The 15,453-nt window shown below is 59.1% G+C and overlaps 2 long non-coding RNA genes across 2 annotated transcripts; both read right to left on the bottom strand.

Moving 5' to 3' along the window:
- Positions 1 to 424: 424 nt before the first annotated feature.
- On the bottom strand, positions 425 to 4,360 carry LOC107987246 (uncharacterized). Its single transcript, XR_001752818.1, has 3 exons — positions 4,022 to 4,360; positions 1,675 to 1,790; positions 425 to 1,173 (listed from the first exon to the last, which is right to left on the bottom strand). It is a non-coding gene; the product is annotated as an uncharacterized LOC107987246 (long non-coding RNA).
- A 5,870-nt stretch (positions 4,361 to 10,230) lies between these two features.
- Positions 10,231 to 11,188, bottom strand: LOC105377824 (uncharacterized). The gene is made up of 2 exons (XR_942184.2): positions 11,137 to 11,188; positions 10,231 to 10,640 (listed from the first exon to the last, which is right to left on the bottom strand). It is a non-coding gene; the product is annotated as an uncharacterized LOC105377824 (long non-coding RNA).
- Between the last annotated feature and the right edge of the window lie 4,265 nt (positions 11,189 to 15,453).

The raw sequence follows: 15,453 nt of genomic DNA, 5'->3' as shown, positions 1-15,453 counted from the left end.
CTCCTTTGAAAGAGCGGTGGCCTGGCCCGCTTCTAAAAGCCCTGGGGCTCCTGCAAGCCGACACCGCTTTCCAGGACACGTGCAGACAGGGACGGGGCGAATCCCAGGTGGAGACAATGCGATCACGCCTGGCACTGGCGTATACCAGAGCAGATGGCGTGAATGTATGTCACCGGAGGCATGTGGGGCGAGGGCGAAAGCAACAGTGGTGCCCAGGCATGCGCCCGGTAGAAAGGGGATCAAGTGGCCTTTCCCTGAGTGCCAAGGGAACACAAAGAAGACCTGGGAACCTGGACGGGGCTTGTGCCTCAGCCAAGCCACATGTTGAAATGCCTGCCAGAGGACCACAGAGGTTTCTGCAACAGTCACCCCACCCCCAACCCTCCACCACCCAGCTAGCCCTGAGGCAACCTCCCCTGCACGCAGCCCCAGCCCCAGTCCCAGCGCAGTCCCTTTGTTTCCTGACATTCGTTACAGCCAAAAGATCCAGGGAGTCTGTCCACCTGTGAGCGGAGGAGAGGATGTCCCTCAAGAGTGAGACAGGAAGCGCAGGGGAAATGCACTTGTCCTAGAAGACAAGGCCAGTCTCGCCGGCCTAGCGCTCGCTCATCCTAGGCAATCCACCCACCCATGAGGTGAAACACGGAGACCGAGGAAGCTTCCCTGTCTGAGACACGTATGGAAGCCAAGAGCCCCAGGGTCATCAGACCTGCGCAATCCAGCAGAAACAGGCTTGGAGAGAGAAACAGTCATGACACGGATCTCCAGGAAGTGTCTCCCTGATGGACGGGGACGTGATCTTCGTAGAAGATATTCAGCCAGACCGAGAGGCATCTAGGCCGCTCAGAAACAGGGGAGACAGAGCAAGAGGGACGACAGAGCAGAGGCCATAGCCCAGGCAGGATACAGCGCCGTGCCACCGCCACGGGCATAAGAGGAGGGGTGCGAAGCGGGTGGCTTGTCCAGAGAGGCCAGCGTTCCAGGGACGGGGCTTGTTGCCGTCTCCCATTCCAGGCTTCCTCTTCAAGACTGTGTGGTGGTGTGGCTTCATTTCGCAGAGAAGGGGCGTGGAAAGGTAAAACCATCTTCTTGGACGTGGGTCTGCTCCTCTCCTGCCGGACAATGTGCTACCGTGGGGCTTTTGTCCTGGGCTGCAGTGTGGTCCTCTCGATCCTAGAAAAGAGGCCGCTCAGGATGGGGATGAGACTTCCATTGCTCCGGGCCCGATGCATCCCCTCACGTTATCGAGGCCTGCACAGACCCAAAGTGGAACCGCCGCGAAGACGATGGACAGCTGGCCGCAGGACCCAGGGAGAGACGCAGAAAGAGGCTCACCAAAGACCGGTCCACATAAAAGACATCCCTTTTTGACGCACAGGGCACATTCGTCCAAAGACACACACACACACACACAAACACACACACACACACACACACACACAGAGGGAAAGAAGCACACAGAGGGTGAGAGACAGAGAGAGAAGGGAGAATGGGAGACACAGCCCCACACACAGTCCTACCGCGGTGGCCGAGCAATACACGCCCCCAGGCAACCCCTGCGGCTGCCGGGTTCTGCTCTGGAGGGGAACAACCCTCGGCTGAGAGAACAGCCCTCGGGCACGCAGGCGGACCTGTCCTCGAGATCACGGGGGCACGACTTCTCGGGAGACTCACCCGAACACCGTCCTGACAGCCCTGAGGCTGGGATGCCACGCTGCTTCCCCCGGACTCCGCCTGTGGTTTCCTCATCCTGCTCGGCCCCTTGTGACTCCTGGCAGCCGGAGACGTTCCTGTGGACCCCGTGGAGAGGTCAGGCCGGAGCCTCGGAGGCCCGACACCCAAGCGCTGCCACGGAGGGCTCCCGCGTTGCCAAGCCTCGGGGACTGGTTCCTAAGACAACCGTGGGAAGCACTGTGAAGCAAAAAGCGGCGCGCGCCTCGCGCATGCGCTTTGGCTGGGCCGACTCGCGCTTGGCTCCTGGCAGTCAGGCAGGCTGCGTCCCCTTTAAATACGGGCGGCTGCGCGGCGGCAGGGGGCGCGCCTGCTGCAGCCGCGGCTGCGGCTGGATCCGGGGTCCAGTTTGGGGCCGCGTGGGAGAGGGGGCCACGGGTGTCCCAGGGCCGAGCCCCCAGGAGTTCCGTCTTCAGGACCTCCTTGAGCCGACTTCCACCGATGGACGGGGAGCTTCAGGGCGCCTGCTGGGTTCTCAGGACTCCTCTTCAGATGCGATTTTGGACCACTCTGGGCGAGAAAGGATGGGCTCACCACATCTGCTGAGGCAGGCAGGGCCTCGCTGCAGCACAGAATGATCCCATGGCCCTCAAGGCCTGCTGTCAGCGGAAAATTCACTGATCCGTGAGCCCTCTGCCTCCCTCCTCCTTTGAAAGAGCGGTGGCCTGGCCCGCTTCTAAAAGCCCTGGGGCTCCTGCAAGCCGACACCGCTTTCCAGGACACGTGCAGACAGGGACGGGGCGAATCCCAGGTGGAGACAATGCGATCACGCCTGGCACTGGCGTATACCAGAGCAGATGGCGTGAATGTATGTCACCGGAGGCATGTGGGGCGAGGGCGAAAGCAACAGTGGTGCCCAGGCATGCGCCCGGTAGAAAGGGGATCAAGTGGCCTTTCCCTGAGTGCCAAGGGAACACAAAGAAGACCTGGGAACCTGGACGGGGCTTGTGCCTCAGCCAAGCCACATGTTGAAATGCCTGCCAGAGGACCACAGAGGTTTCTGCAACAGTCACCCCACCCCCAACCCTCCACCACCCAGCTAGCCCTGACGCAACCTCCCCTGCACGCAGCCCCAGCCCCAGTCCCAGCGCAGTCCCTTTGTTTCCTGACATTCGTTACAGCCAAAAGATCCAGGGAGTCTGTCCACCTGTGAGCGGAGGAGAGGATGTCCCTCAAGAGTGAGACAGGAAGCGCAGGGGAAATGCACTTGTCCTAGAAGACAAGGCCAGTCTCGCCGGCCTAGCGCTCGCTCATCCTAGGCAATCCACCCACCCATGAGGTGAAACACGGAGACCGAGGAAGCTTCCCTGTCTGAGACACGTATGGAAGCCAAGAGCCCCAGGGTCATCAGACCTGCGCAATCCAGCAGAAACAGGCTTGGAGAGAGAAACAGTCATGACACGGATCTCCAGGAAGTGTCTCCCTGATGGACGGGGAAGTGATCTTCGTAGAAGATATTCAGCCAGACCGAGAGGCATCTAGGCCGCTCAGAAACAGGGGAGACAGAGCAAGAGGGACGACAGAGCAGAGGCCATAGCCCAGGCAGGATACAGCGCCGTGCCACCGCCACGGGCATAAGAGGAGGGGTGCGAAGCGGGTGGCTTGTCCAGAGAGGCCAGCGTTCCAGGGACGGGGCTTGTTGCCGTCTCCCATTCCAGGCTTCCTCTTCAAGACTGTGTGGTGGTGTGGCTTCATTTCGCAGAGAAGGGGCGTGGAAAGGTAAAACCATCTTCTTGGACGTGGGTCTGCTCCTCTCCTGCCGGACAATGTGCTACCGTGGGGCTTTTGTCCTGGGCTGCAGTGTGGTCCTCTCGATCCTAGAAAAGAGGCCGCTCAGGATGGGGATGAGACTTCCATTGCTCCGGGCCCGATGCATCCCCTCACGTTATCGAGGCCTGCACAGACCCAAAGTGGAACCGCCGCGAAGACGATGGACAGCTGGCCGCAGGACCCAGGGAGAGACGCAGAAAGAGGCTCACCAAAGACCGGTCCACATAAAAGACATCCCTTTTTGACGCACAGGGCACATTCGTCCAAAGACACACACACACACACACAGAGGGAAAGAAGCACACAGAGGGTGAGAGACAGAGAGAGAAGGGAGAATGGGAGACACAGCCCCACACACAGTCCTACCGCGGTGGCCGAGAAATACACGCCCCCAGGCAACCCCTGCGGCTGCCGGGTTCTGCTCTGGAGGGGAACAACCCTCGGCTGAGAGAACAGCCCTCGGGCACGCAGGCGGACCTGTCCTCGAGATCACGGGGGCACGACTTCTCGGGAGACTCACCCGAACACCGTCCTGACAGCCCTGAGGCTGGGATGCCACGCTGCTTCCCCCGGACTCCGCCTGTGGTTTCCTCATCCTGCTCGGCCCCTTGCGACTCCTGGCAGCCGGAGACGTTCCTGTGGACCCCGTGGAGAGGTCAGGCCGGAGCCTCGGAGGCCCGACACCCAAGCGCTGCCACGGAGGGCTCCCGCGTTGCCAAGCCTCGGGGACTGGTTCCTAAGACAACCGTGGGAAGCACTGTGAAGCAAAAAGCGGCGCGCGCCTCGCGCATGCGCTTTGGCTGGGCCGACTCGCGCTTGGCTCCTGGCAGTCAGGCAGGCTGCGTCCCCTTTAAATACGGGCGGCTGCGCGGCGGCAGGGGGCGCGCCTGCTGCAGCCGCGGCTGCCGCTGGATCCGGGGTCCAGTTTGGGGCCGCGTGGGAGAGGGGGCCACGGGTGTCCCAGGGCCGAGCCCCCAGGAGTCCCGTCTTCAGGACCTCCTTGAGCCGACTTCCACCGATGGACGGGGAGCTTCAGGGCGCCTGCTGGGTTCTCAGGACTCCTCTTCAGATGCGATTTTGGACCACTCTGGGCGAGAAAGGATGGGCTCACCACATCTGCTGAGGCAGGCAGGGCCTCGCTGCAGCACAGAATGATCCCATGGCCCTCAAGGCCTGCTGTCAGCGGAAAATTCACTGATCCGTGAGCCCTCTGCCTCCCTCCTCCTTTGAAAGAGCGGTGGCCTGGCCCGCTTCTAAAAGCCCTGGGGCTCCTGCAAGCCGACACCGCTTTCCAGGACACGTGCAGACAGGGACGGGGCGAATCCCAGGTGGAGACAATGCGATCACGCCTGGCACTGGCGTATACCAGAGCAGATGGCGTGAATGTATGTCACCGGAGGCATGTGGGGCGAGGGCGAAAGCAACAGTGGTGCCCAGGCATGCGCCCGGTAGAAAGGGGATCAAGTGGCCTTTCCCTGAGTGCCAAGGGAACACAAAGAAGACCTGGGAACCTGGACGGGGCTTGTGCCTCAGCCAAGCCACATGTTGAAATGCCTGCCAGAGGACCACAGAGGTTTCTGCAACAGTCACCCCACCCCCAACCCTCCACCACCCAGCTAGCCCTGACGCAACCTCCCCTGCACGCAGCCCCAGCCCCAGTCCCAGCTCAGTCCCTTTGTTTCCTGACATTCGTTACAGCCAAAAGATCCAGGGAGTCTGTCCACCTGTGAGCGGAGGAGAGGATGTCCCTCAAGAGTGAGACAGGAAGCGCAGGGGAAATGCACTTGTCCTAGAAGACAAGGCCAGTCTCGCCGGCCTAGCGCTCGCTCATCCTAGGCAATCCACCCACCCATGAGGTGAAACACGGAGACCGAGGAAGCTTCCCTGTCTGAGACACGTATGGAAGCCAAGAGCCCCAGGGTCATCAGACCTGCGCAATCCAGCAGAAACGGGCTTGGAGAGAGAAACAGTCATGACACGGATCTCCAGGAAGTGTCTCCCTGATGGACGGGGAAGTGATCTTCGTAGAAGATATTCAGCCAGACCGAGAGGCATCTAGGCCGCTCAGAAACAGGGGAGACAGAGCAAGAGGGACGACAGAGCAGAGGCCATAGCCCAGGCAGGATACAGCGCCGTGCCACCGCCACGGGCATAAGAGGAGGGGTGCGAAGCGGGTGGCTTGTCCAGAGAGGCCAGCGTTCCAGGGACGGGGCTTGTTGCCGTCTCCCATTCCAGGCTTCCTCTTCAAGACTGTGTGGTGGTGTGGCTTCATTTCGCAGAGAAGGGGCGTGGAAAGGTAAAACCATCTTCTTGGACGTGGGTCTGCTCCTCTCCTGCCGGACAATGTGCTACCGTGGGGCTTTTGTCCTGGGCTGCAGTGTGGTCCTCTCGATCCTAGAAAAGAGGCCGCTCAGGATGGGGATGAGACTTCCATTGCTCCGGGCCCGATGCATCCCCTCACGTTATCGAGGCCTGCACAGACCCAAAGTGGAACCGCCGCGAAGACGATGGACAGCTGGCCGCAGGACCCAGGGAGAGACGCAGAAAGAGGCTCACCAAAGACCGGTCCACATAAAAGACATCCCTTTTTGACGCACAGGGCACATTCGTCCAAAGACACACACACACACACACAAACACACACACACACACACACACACACAGAGGGAAAGAAGCACACAGAGGGTGAGAGACAGAGAGAGAAGGGAGAATGGGAGACACAGCCCCACACACAGTCCTACCGCGGTGGCCGAGCAATACACGCCCCCAGGCAACCCCTGCGGCTGCCGGGTTCTGCTCTGGAGGGGAACAACCCTCGGCTGAGAGAACAGCCCTCGGGCACGCAGGCGGACCTGTCCTCGAGATCACGGGGGCACGACTTCTCGGGAGACTCACCCGAACACCGTCCTGGCAGGCCTGAGGCTGGGATGCCACGCTGCTTCCCCCGGACTCCGCCTGTGGTTTCCTCATCCTGCTCGGCCCTTTGTGACTCCTGGCAGCCGGAGACGTTCCTGTGGACCCCGTGGAGAGGTCAGGCCGGAGCCTCGGAGGCCCGACACCCAAGCGCTGCCACGGAGGGCTCCCGCGTTGCCAAGCCTCGGGGACTGGTTCCTAAGACAACCGTGGGAAGCACTGTGAAGCAAAAAGCGGCGCGCGCCTCGCGCATGCGCTTTGGCTGGGCCGACTCGCGCTTGGCTCCTGGCAGTCAGGCAGGCTGCGTCCCCTTTAAATACGGGCGGCTGCGCGGCGGCAGGGGGCGCGCCTGCTGCAGCCGCGGCTGCGGCTGGATCCGGGGTCCAGTTTGGGGCCGCGTGGGAGAGGGGGCCACGGGTGTCCCAGGGCCGAGCCCCCAGGAGTCCCGTCTTCAGGACCTCCTTGAGCCGACTTCCACCGATGGACGGGGAGCTTCAGGGCGCCTGCTGGGTTCTCAGGACTCCTCTTCAGATGCGATTTTGGACCACTCTGGGCGAGAAAGGATGGGCTCACCACATCTGCTGAGGCAGGCAGGGCCTCGCTGCAGCACAGAATGATCCCATGGCCCTCAAGGCCTGCTGTCAGCGGAAAATTCACTGATCCGTGAGCCCTCTGCCTCCCTCCTCCTTTGAAAGAGCGGTGGCCTGGCCCGCTTCTAAAAGCCCTGGGGCTCCTGCAAGCCGACACCGCTTTCCAGGACACGTGCAGACAGGGACGGGGCGAATCCCAGGTGGAGACAATGCGATCACGCCTGGCACTGGCGTATACCAGAGCAGATGGCGTGAATGTATGTCACCGGAGGCATGTGGGGCGAGGGCGAAAGCAACAGTGGTGCCCAGGCATGCGCCCGGTAGAAAGGGGATCAAGTGGCCTTTCCCTGAGTGCCAAGGGAACACAAAGAAGACCTGGGAACCTGGACGGGGCTTGTGCCTCAGCCAAGCCACATGTTGAAATGCCTGCCAGAGGACCACAGAGGTTTCTGCAACAGTCACCCCACCCCCAACCCTCCACCACCCAGCTAGCCCTGACGCAACCTCCCCTGCACGCAGCCCCAGCCCCAGTCCCAGCGCAGTCCCTTTGTTTCCTGACATTCGTTACAGCCAAAAGATCCAGGGAGTCTGTCCACCTGTGAGCGGAGGAGAGGATGTCCCTCAAGAGTGAGACAGGAAGCGCAGGGGAAATGCACTTGTCCTAGAAGACAAGGCCAGTCTCGCCGGCCTAGCGCTCGCTCATCCTAGGCAATCCACCCACCCATGAGGTGAAACACGGAGACCGAGGAAGCTTCCCTGTCTGAGACACGTATGGAAGCCAAGAGCCCCAGGGTCATCAGACCTGCGCAATCCAGCAGAAACAGGCTTGGAGAGAGAAACAGTCATGACACGGATCTCCAGGAAGTGTCTCCCTGATGGACGGGGAAGTGATCTTCGTAGAAGATATTCAGCCAGACCGAGAGGCATCTAGGCCGCTCAGAAACAGGGGAGACAGAGCAAGAGGGACGACAGAGCAGAGGCCATAGCCCAGGCAGGATACAGCGCCGTGCCACCGCCACGGGCATAAGAGGAGGGGTGCGAAGCGGGTGGCTTGTCCAGAGAGGCCAGCGTTCCAGGGACGGGGCTTGTTGCCGTCTCCCATTCCAGGCTTCCTCTTCAAGACTGTGTGGTGGTGTGGCTTCATTTCGCAGAGAAGGGGCGTGGAAAGGTAAAACCATCTTCTTGGACGTGGGTCTGCTCCTCTCCTGCCGGACAATGTGCTACCGTGGGGCTTTTGTCCTGGGCTGCAGTGTGGTCCTCTCGATCCTAGAAAAGAGGCCGCTCAGGATGGGGATGAGACTTCCATTGCTCCGGGCCCGATGCATCCCCTCACGTTATCGAGGCCTGCACAGACCCAAAGTGGAACCGCCGCGAAGACGATGGACAGCTGGCCGCAGGACCCAGGGAGAGACGCAGAAAGAGGCTCACCAAAACCGGTCCACATAAAAGACATCCCTTTTTGACGCACAGGGCACATTCGTCCAAAGACACACACACACACACACAAACACACACACACACACACACACAGAGGGAAAGAAGCACACAGAGGGTGAGAGACAGAGAGAGAAGGGAGAATGGGAGACACAGCCCCACACACAGTCCTACCGCGGTGGCCGAGCAATACACGCCCCCAGGCAACCCCTGCGGCTGCCGGGTTCTGCTCTGGAGGGGAACAACCCTCGGCTGAGAGAACAGCCCTCGGGCACGCAGGCGGACCTGTCCTCGAGATCACGGGGGCACGACTTCTCGGGAGACTCACCCGAACACCGTCCTGACAGCCCTGAGGCTGGGATGCCACGCTGCTTCCCCCGGACTCCGCCTGTGGTTTCCTCATCCTGCTCGGCCCCTTGTGACTCCTGGCAGCCGGAGACGTTCCTGTGGACCCCGTGGAGAGGTCAGGCCGGAGCCTCGGAGGCCCGACACCCAAGCGCTGCCACGGAGGGCTCCCGCGTTGCCAAGCCTCGGGGACTGGTTCCTAAGACAACCGTGGGAAGCACTGTGAAGCAAAAAGCGGCGCGCGCCTCGCGCATGCGCTTTGGCTGGGCCGACTCGCGCTTGGCTCCTGGCAGTCAGGCAGGCTGCGTCCCCTTTAAATACGGGCGGCTGCGCGGCGGCAGGGGGCGCGCCTGCTGCAGCCGCGGCTGCGGCTGGATCCGGGGTCCAGTTTGGGGCCGCGTGGGAGAGGGGGCCACGGGTGTCCCAGGGCCGAGCCCCCAGGAGTTCCGTCTTCAGGACCTCCTTGAGCCGACTTCCACCGATGGACGGGGAGCTTCAGGGCGCCTGCTGGGTTCTCAGGACTCCTCTTCAGATGCGATTTTGGACCACTCTGGGCGAGAAAGGATGGGCTCACCACATCTGCTGAGGCAGGCAGGGCCTCGCTGCAGCACAGAATGATCCCATGGCCCTCAAGGCCTGGTGTCAGCGGAAAATTCACTGATCCGTGAGCCCTCTGCCTCCCTCCTCCTTTGAAAGAGCAGTGGCCTGGCCCGCTTCTAAAAGCCCTGGGGCTCCTGCAAGCCGACACCGCTTTCCAGGACACGTGCAGACAGGGACGGGGCGAATCCCAGGTGGAGACAATGCGATCACGCCTGGCACTGGCGTATACCAGAGCAGATGGCGTGAATGTATGTCACCGGAGGCATGTGGGGCGAGGGCGAAAGCAACAGTGGTGCCCAGGCATGCGCCCGGTAGAAAGGGGATCAAGTGGCCTTTCCCTGAGTGCCAAGGGAACACAAAGAAGACCTGGGAACCTGGACGGGGCTTGTGCCTCAGCCAAGCCACATGTTGAAATGCCTGCCAGAGGACCACAGAGGTTTCTGCAACAGTCACCCCACCCCCAACCCTCCACCACCCAGCTAGCCCTGACGCAACCTCCCCTGCACGCAGCCCCAGCCCCAGTCCCAGCGCAGTCCCTTTGTTTCCTGACATTCGTTACAGCCAAAAGATCCAGGGAGTCTGTCCACCTGTGAGCGGAGGAGAGGATGTCCCTCAAGAGTGAGACAGGAAGCGCAGGGGAAATGCACTTGTCCTAGAAGACAAGGCCAGTCTCGCCGGCCTAGCGCTCGCTCATCCTAGGCAATCCACCCACCCATGAGGTGAAACACGGAGACCGAGGAAGCTTCCCTGTCTGAGACACGTATGGAAGCCAAGAGCCCCAGGGTCATCAGACCTGCGCAATCCAGCAGAAACAGGCTTGGAGAGAGAAACAGTCATGACACGGATCTCCAGGAAGTGTCTCCCTGATGGACGGGGAAGTGATCTTCGTAGAAGATATTCAGCCAGACCGAGAGGCATCTAGGCCGCTCAGAAACAGGGGAGACAGAGCAAGAGGGACGACAGAGCAGAGGCCATAGCCCAGGCAGGATACAGCGCCGTGCCACCGCCACGGGCATAAGAGGAGGGGTGCGAAGCGGGTGGCTTGTCCAGAGAGGCCAGCGTTCCAGGGACGGGGCTTGTTGCCGTCTCCCATTCCAGGCTTCCTCTTCAAGACTGTGTGGTGGTGTGGCTTCATTTCGCAGAGAAGGGGCGTGGAAAGGTAAAACCATCTTCTTGGACGTGGGTCTGCTCCTCTCCTGCCGGACAATGTGCTACCGTGGGGCTTTTGTCCTGGGCTGCAGTGTGGTCCTCTCGATCCTAGAAAAGAGGCCGCTCAGGATGGGGATGAGACTTCCATTGCTCCGGGCCCGATGCATCCCCTCACGTTATCGAGGCCTGCACAGACCCAAAGTGGAACCGCCGCGAAGACGATGGACAGCTGGCCGCAGGACCCAGGGAGAGACGCAGAAAGAGGCTCACCAAAACCGGTCCACATAAAAGACATCCCTTTTTGACGCACAGGGCACATTCGTCCAAAGACACACACACACACACACAAACACACACACACACACACACACAGAGGGAAAGAAGCACACAGAGGGTGAGAGACAGAGAGAGAAGGGAGAATGGGAGACACAGCCCCACACACAGTCCTACCGCGGTGGCCGAGCAATACACGCCCCCAGGCAACCCCTGCGGCTGCCGGGTTCTGCTCTGGAGGGGAACAACCCTCGGCTGAGAGAACAGCCCTCGGGCACGCAGGCGGACCTGTCCTCGAGATCACGGGGGCACGACTTCTCGGGAGACTCACCCGAACACCGTCCTGGCAGGCCTGAGGCTGGGACGCCACGCTGCTTCCCCCGGACTCCGCCTGTGGTTTCCTCATCCTGCTCGGCCCCTTGCGACTCCTGGCAGCCGGAGACGTTCCTGTGGACCCCGTGGAGAGGTCAGGCCGGAGCCTCGGAGGCCCGACACCCAAGCGCTGCCACGGAGGGCTCCCGCGTTGCCAAGCCTCGGGGACTGGTTCCTAAGACAACCGTGGGAAGCACTGTGAAGCAAAAAGCGGCGCGCGCCTCGCGCATGCGCTTTGGCTGGGCCGACTCGCGCTTGGCTGCTGGCAGTCAGGCAGGCTGCGTCCCCTTTAAATACGGGCGGCTGCGCGGCGGCAGGGGGCGCGCCTGCTGCAGCCGCGGCTGCGGCTGGATCCGGGGTCCAGTTTGGGGCCGCGTGGGAGAGGGGGCCACGGGTGTCCCAGGGCCGAGCCCCCAGGAGTCCCGTCTTCAGGACCTCCTTGAGCCGACTTCCACCGATGGACGGGGAGCTTCAGGGCGCCTGCTGGGTTCTCAGGACTCCTCTTCAGATGCGATTTTGGACCACTCTGGGCGAGAAAGGATGGGCTCACCACATCTGCTGAGGCAGGCAGGGCCTCGCTGCAGCACAGAATGATCCCATGGCCCTCAAGGCCTGCTGTCAGCGGAAAATTCACTGATCCGTGAGCCCTCTGCCTCCCTCCTCCTTTGAAAGAGCAGTGGCCTGGCCCGCTTCTAAAAGCCCTGGGGCTCCTGCGAGCCGACACCGCTTTCCAGGACACGTGCAGACAGGGACGGGGCGAATCCCAGGTGGAGACAATGCGATCACGCCTGGCACTGGCGTATACCAGAGCAGATGGCGTGAATGTATGTCAACGGAGGCATGTGGGGCGAGGGCGAAAGCAACAGTGGTGCCCAGGCATGCGCCCGGTAGAAAGGGGATCAAGTCGCCTTTCCCTGAGTGCCAAGGGAACACAAAGAAGACCTGGGAACCTGGACGGGGCTTGTGCCTCAGCCAAGCCACATGTTGAAATGCCTGCCAGAGGACCACAGAGGTTTCTGCAACAGTCACCCCACCCCCAACCCTCCACCACCCAGCTAGCCCTGACGCAACCTCCCCTGCACGCAGCCCCAGCCCCAGTCCCAGCGCAGTCCCTTTGTTTCCTGACATTCGTTACAGCCAAACGATCCAGGGAGTCTGTCCACCTGTGAGCGGAGGAGAGGATGTCCCTCAAGAGTGAGACAGGAAGCGCAGGGGAAATGCACTTGTCCTAGAAGACAAGGCCAGTCTCGCCGGCCTAGCGCTCGCTCATCCTAGGCAATCCACCCACCCATGAGGTGAAACACGGAGACCGAGGAAGCTTCCCTGTCTGAGACACGTATGGAAGCCAAGAGCCCCAGGGTCATCAGACCTGCGCAATCCAGCAGAAACAGGCTTGGAGAGAGAAACAGTCATGACACGGATCTCCAGGAAGTGTCTCCCTGATGGACGGGGAAGTGATCTTCGTAGAAGATATTCAGCCAGACCGAGAGGCATCTAGGCCGCTCAGAAACAGGGGAGACAGAGCAAGAGGGACGACAGAGCAGAGGCCATAGCCCAGGCAGGATACAGCGCCGTGCCACCGCCACGGGCATAAGAGGAGGGGTGCGAAGCGGGTGGCTTGTCCAGAGAGGCCGGCGTTCCAGGGACGGGGATTGTTGCCATCTCCCATTCCCGGCTTCCTCTTCAAGACTGTCGTTTCCTAGAAGACACATCCAGTCACGGTGGACACCCCCACCCACAGTCCTACAGGGGTGGCATAGAAATACTGGCCCCCAGGCAACCCCTGTGGCTGCCGGGTTCTGCTCTCGTCGGGAACGAAACTTGTGTGAGCGAATAGCCCCCGGGCACGCTGGCAGTCCTGTCCTGGAGATCTCACGGGCACGACTTCTGGGGAGACTCACCCGAACACCGTCCGGGCAGGCCTGAGTCTGGGATGTTGCGCTTCTTTCACAGGACTCCGTCTGTTCTTTCTGCTTCCTGGTTAGCCCTCAGTGTATCGTGGTGTCCTGAAACTGTTTTTTCGACCCCCTGGGTTGGTCATGCTAGATCCTCAACACCGACGCACTGTCCGAAAGTGCTCTTGCTTTGATAAGGTTTAAGGAGTGGTCCTCAGCCAACTGTTGGAGTCACTGTGACTGGAGAATGGGCTGGCGCCTCGCGCATTTGCATTTCCCATGCGGAGTCGGGCTTTGCTCTTCAAAGTCCGGCTGTGGCTCCTTTAAACAGGTTTTGCGATGTGTGGTCGGGGGTTTTTGTGGCAGTCACGGTGTTTGCTTGAGCTGGGATGTAGTAGGGGGCGTTGTGGGAGTGGGGCTTCGGGCCCCCCAGAGCCGGACTCCCGGGAGTCCTTTCCTCAGGACCTCCTTGGGCCGATTTCTACAGGTGGAGGTGGACCCTGCTTAAGGGTGCTGGTTCGGGTCTCCGGACTCACAGGCTGGCGTGCATTGTTGTGATCACAGCTCATTGCAGTGTCAATCTCCCAAGCTTAAGCAATTTTCTTGTCTCAGGCTCCCACGTACCTAGGACTACAGGCATGTGTCCCCACACTCAACTACTTTTCTTCAAAACATTTTTGAACGAATGCGGACTTAGTATGTTTCCTGGCTCTTGTCAAACTCCTGGGCTCAAGCTGTCCTCCTGCGTTGACCTCCTCAAGTGCTGAGATTACAGGTGTGAGCTTCCACATGCAGCTAAATTCTTATACCTTAAATCCCTACCTCCCACAATAAGCAGATGTTAGGCCCACTTATTTTATAACTTTTTGCTGTTTATGTCTCTTTTTGTCCCTGGACACTGGGATTAGCAGCCCACTCTCCACCAAATTTGAAATCATTAGGGGCATTATGCTGTGTCCCAGGAGTGGCTGAGGCTTCAAGGACCTGCTGCTCTAACATAGGCCTGCTGAGGAGTACAATTCATGTTGCGTTTCTGTGTTGTTTAACAACCTTCCTGAGCTCCTCTAAGTCAGTCCATCCTGCCACAACTGGGAAGAATCAAGAAACTCTCCAAAAAAATGTTTCTCAACTTGCCTGTTGTCAAATAGAAGACAGGTCTGCTGACCGTGGCAGGCATGGCAGTGTATGACAGTGAGCGCCCCCCACCGTGTTTGCTCTTTACTGCATGTTCCACCTGAACTTTCCCGTCTGCTCAGTGAGTCTTGACAGTGGGGTACAGGGGACTCACTGTCAAATACCAAGGCTGACCCTCTCTGAATACAATGCCATGACCTAGTTACTGTCACTGTGGTTTTGTCGTCAGGGACTAAAGGATACAATAAGAATTTGTTCCTTTAATTTTCCTGTTGATGCACAAAATACTTAAATGCTTCTACATAGGTCTGCTCTTTAGTGCCACAGAGCACTAAGGGAAAGTCCCCACAATAAGGGTGCTTTTCACCTGAGCTTCTAGATGTGACAGTTAAGCAGCTAAAGGTTAAAAAAAATCAAAGCTCCCCAAATGTTGTGGGTATGACAGCTGGTCCAACTTCATGGTCTGTACTTTCCCTCTGTAACAGCATGGATCAATACAGAGATAACTAGCAACTGGTACCCTAGTGTGCCAAGCAATCAATGTATCTGTGTGATTAAAAACCAGCATTTTACCATACTCTAGATACATTAAAAATCAACCCCACACTCATAGACTAGAATTCTACTTTGCCTCCAGATGGCAGTTACAATTGGAAAGGAAATACCTAGTTTACAGGAGGCGTTAATACTTCATTGTTGCAGAAACGGAAGCCTTAAAAGAAGGTATTCTGGACTTTCTGACCTGGATGCTAACAAATATTGGAAAATATGTGTCTAAGAATACACTTGGAACAGAAATGTGAAAAACCAAAAGTAAGAGATATGATGAAGGATCAAATATAAAATGCCCCAGTGCTAAAGAGGCAGCAAAGAAAATTGTAGAAGAAAATGACAAGAGGCATTATGCCTTAATGAGTTTCTGCTACTATATAAAAAATACACTAGGCTGGGTAATTTCTGAAGAACAGAAATGTATTTCTCACAGTTCCATAAGCTAGAAGTCCAAGATCAAGGTGCCAGCAGGATTGGTGTCTGGTGAGGGCCTGGTCTCTACATCCAAGATGGTATCTTCTGCACTGTGTCTTCAGGAGGAGATGCACTGTGTCCTCACATGGCAGAAGGCGGAAGGGCAAAACAGGGGAAGCCCACTCCCTCCAATCCTTGTGTAAGGATCCTAAACTCATTCGTGAAGACTCTCCCTTCATGAAGGAATCACTACCTAAAAGCTCTACTTCCTAATCCTATGA

Source organism: Homo sapiens, chromosome 17 (genome assembly GCF_000001405.40).
Source record: "Homo sapiens chromosome 17, GRCh38.p14 Primary Assembly".
Classification (NCBI taxonomy): Eukaryota; Metazoa; Chordata; class Mammalia; order Primates; family Hominidae; genus Homo; species Homo sapiens.
This window is presented reverse-complemented; position numbering and strand designations above follow the sequence as displayed.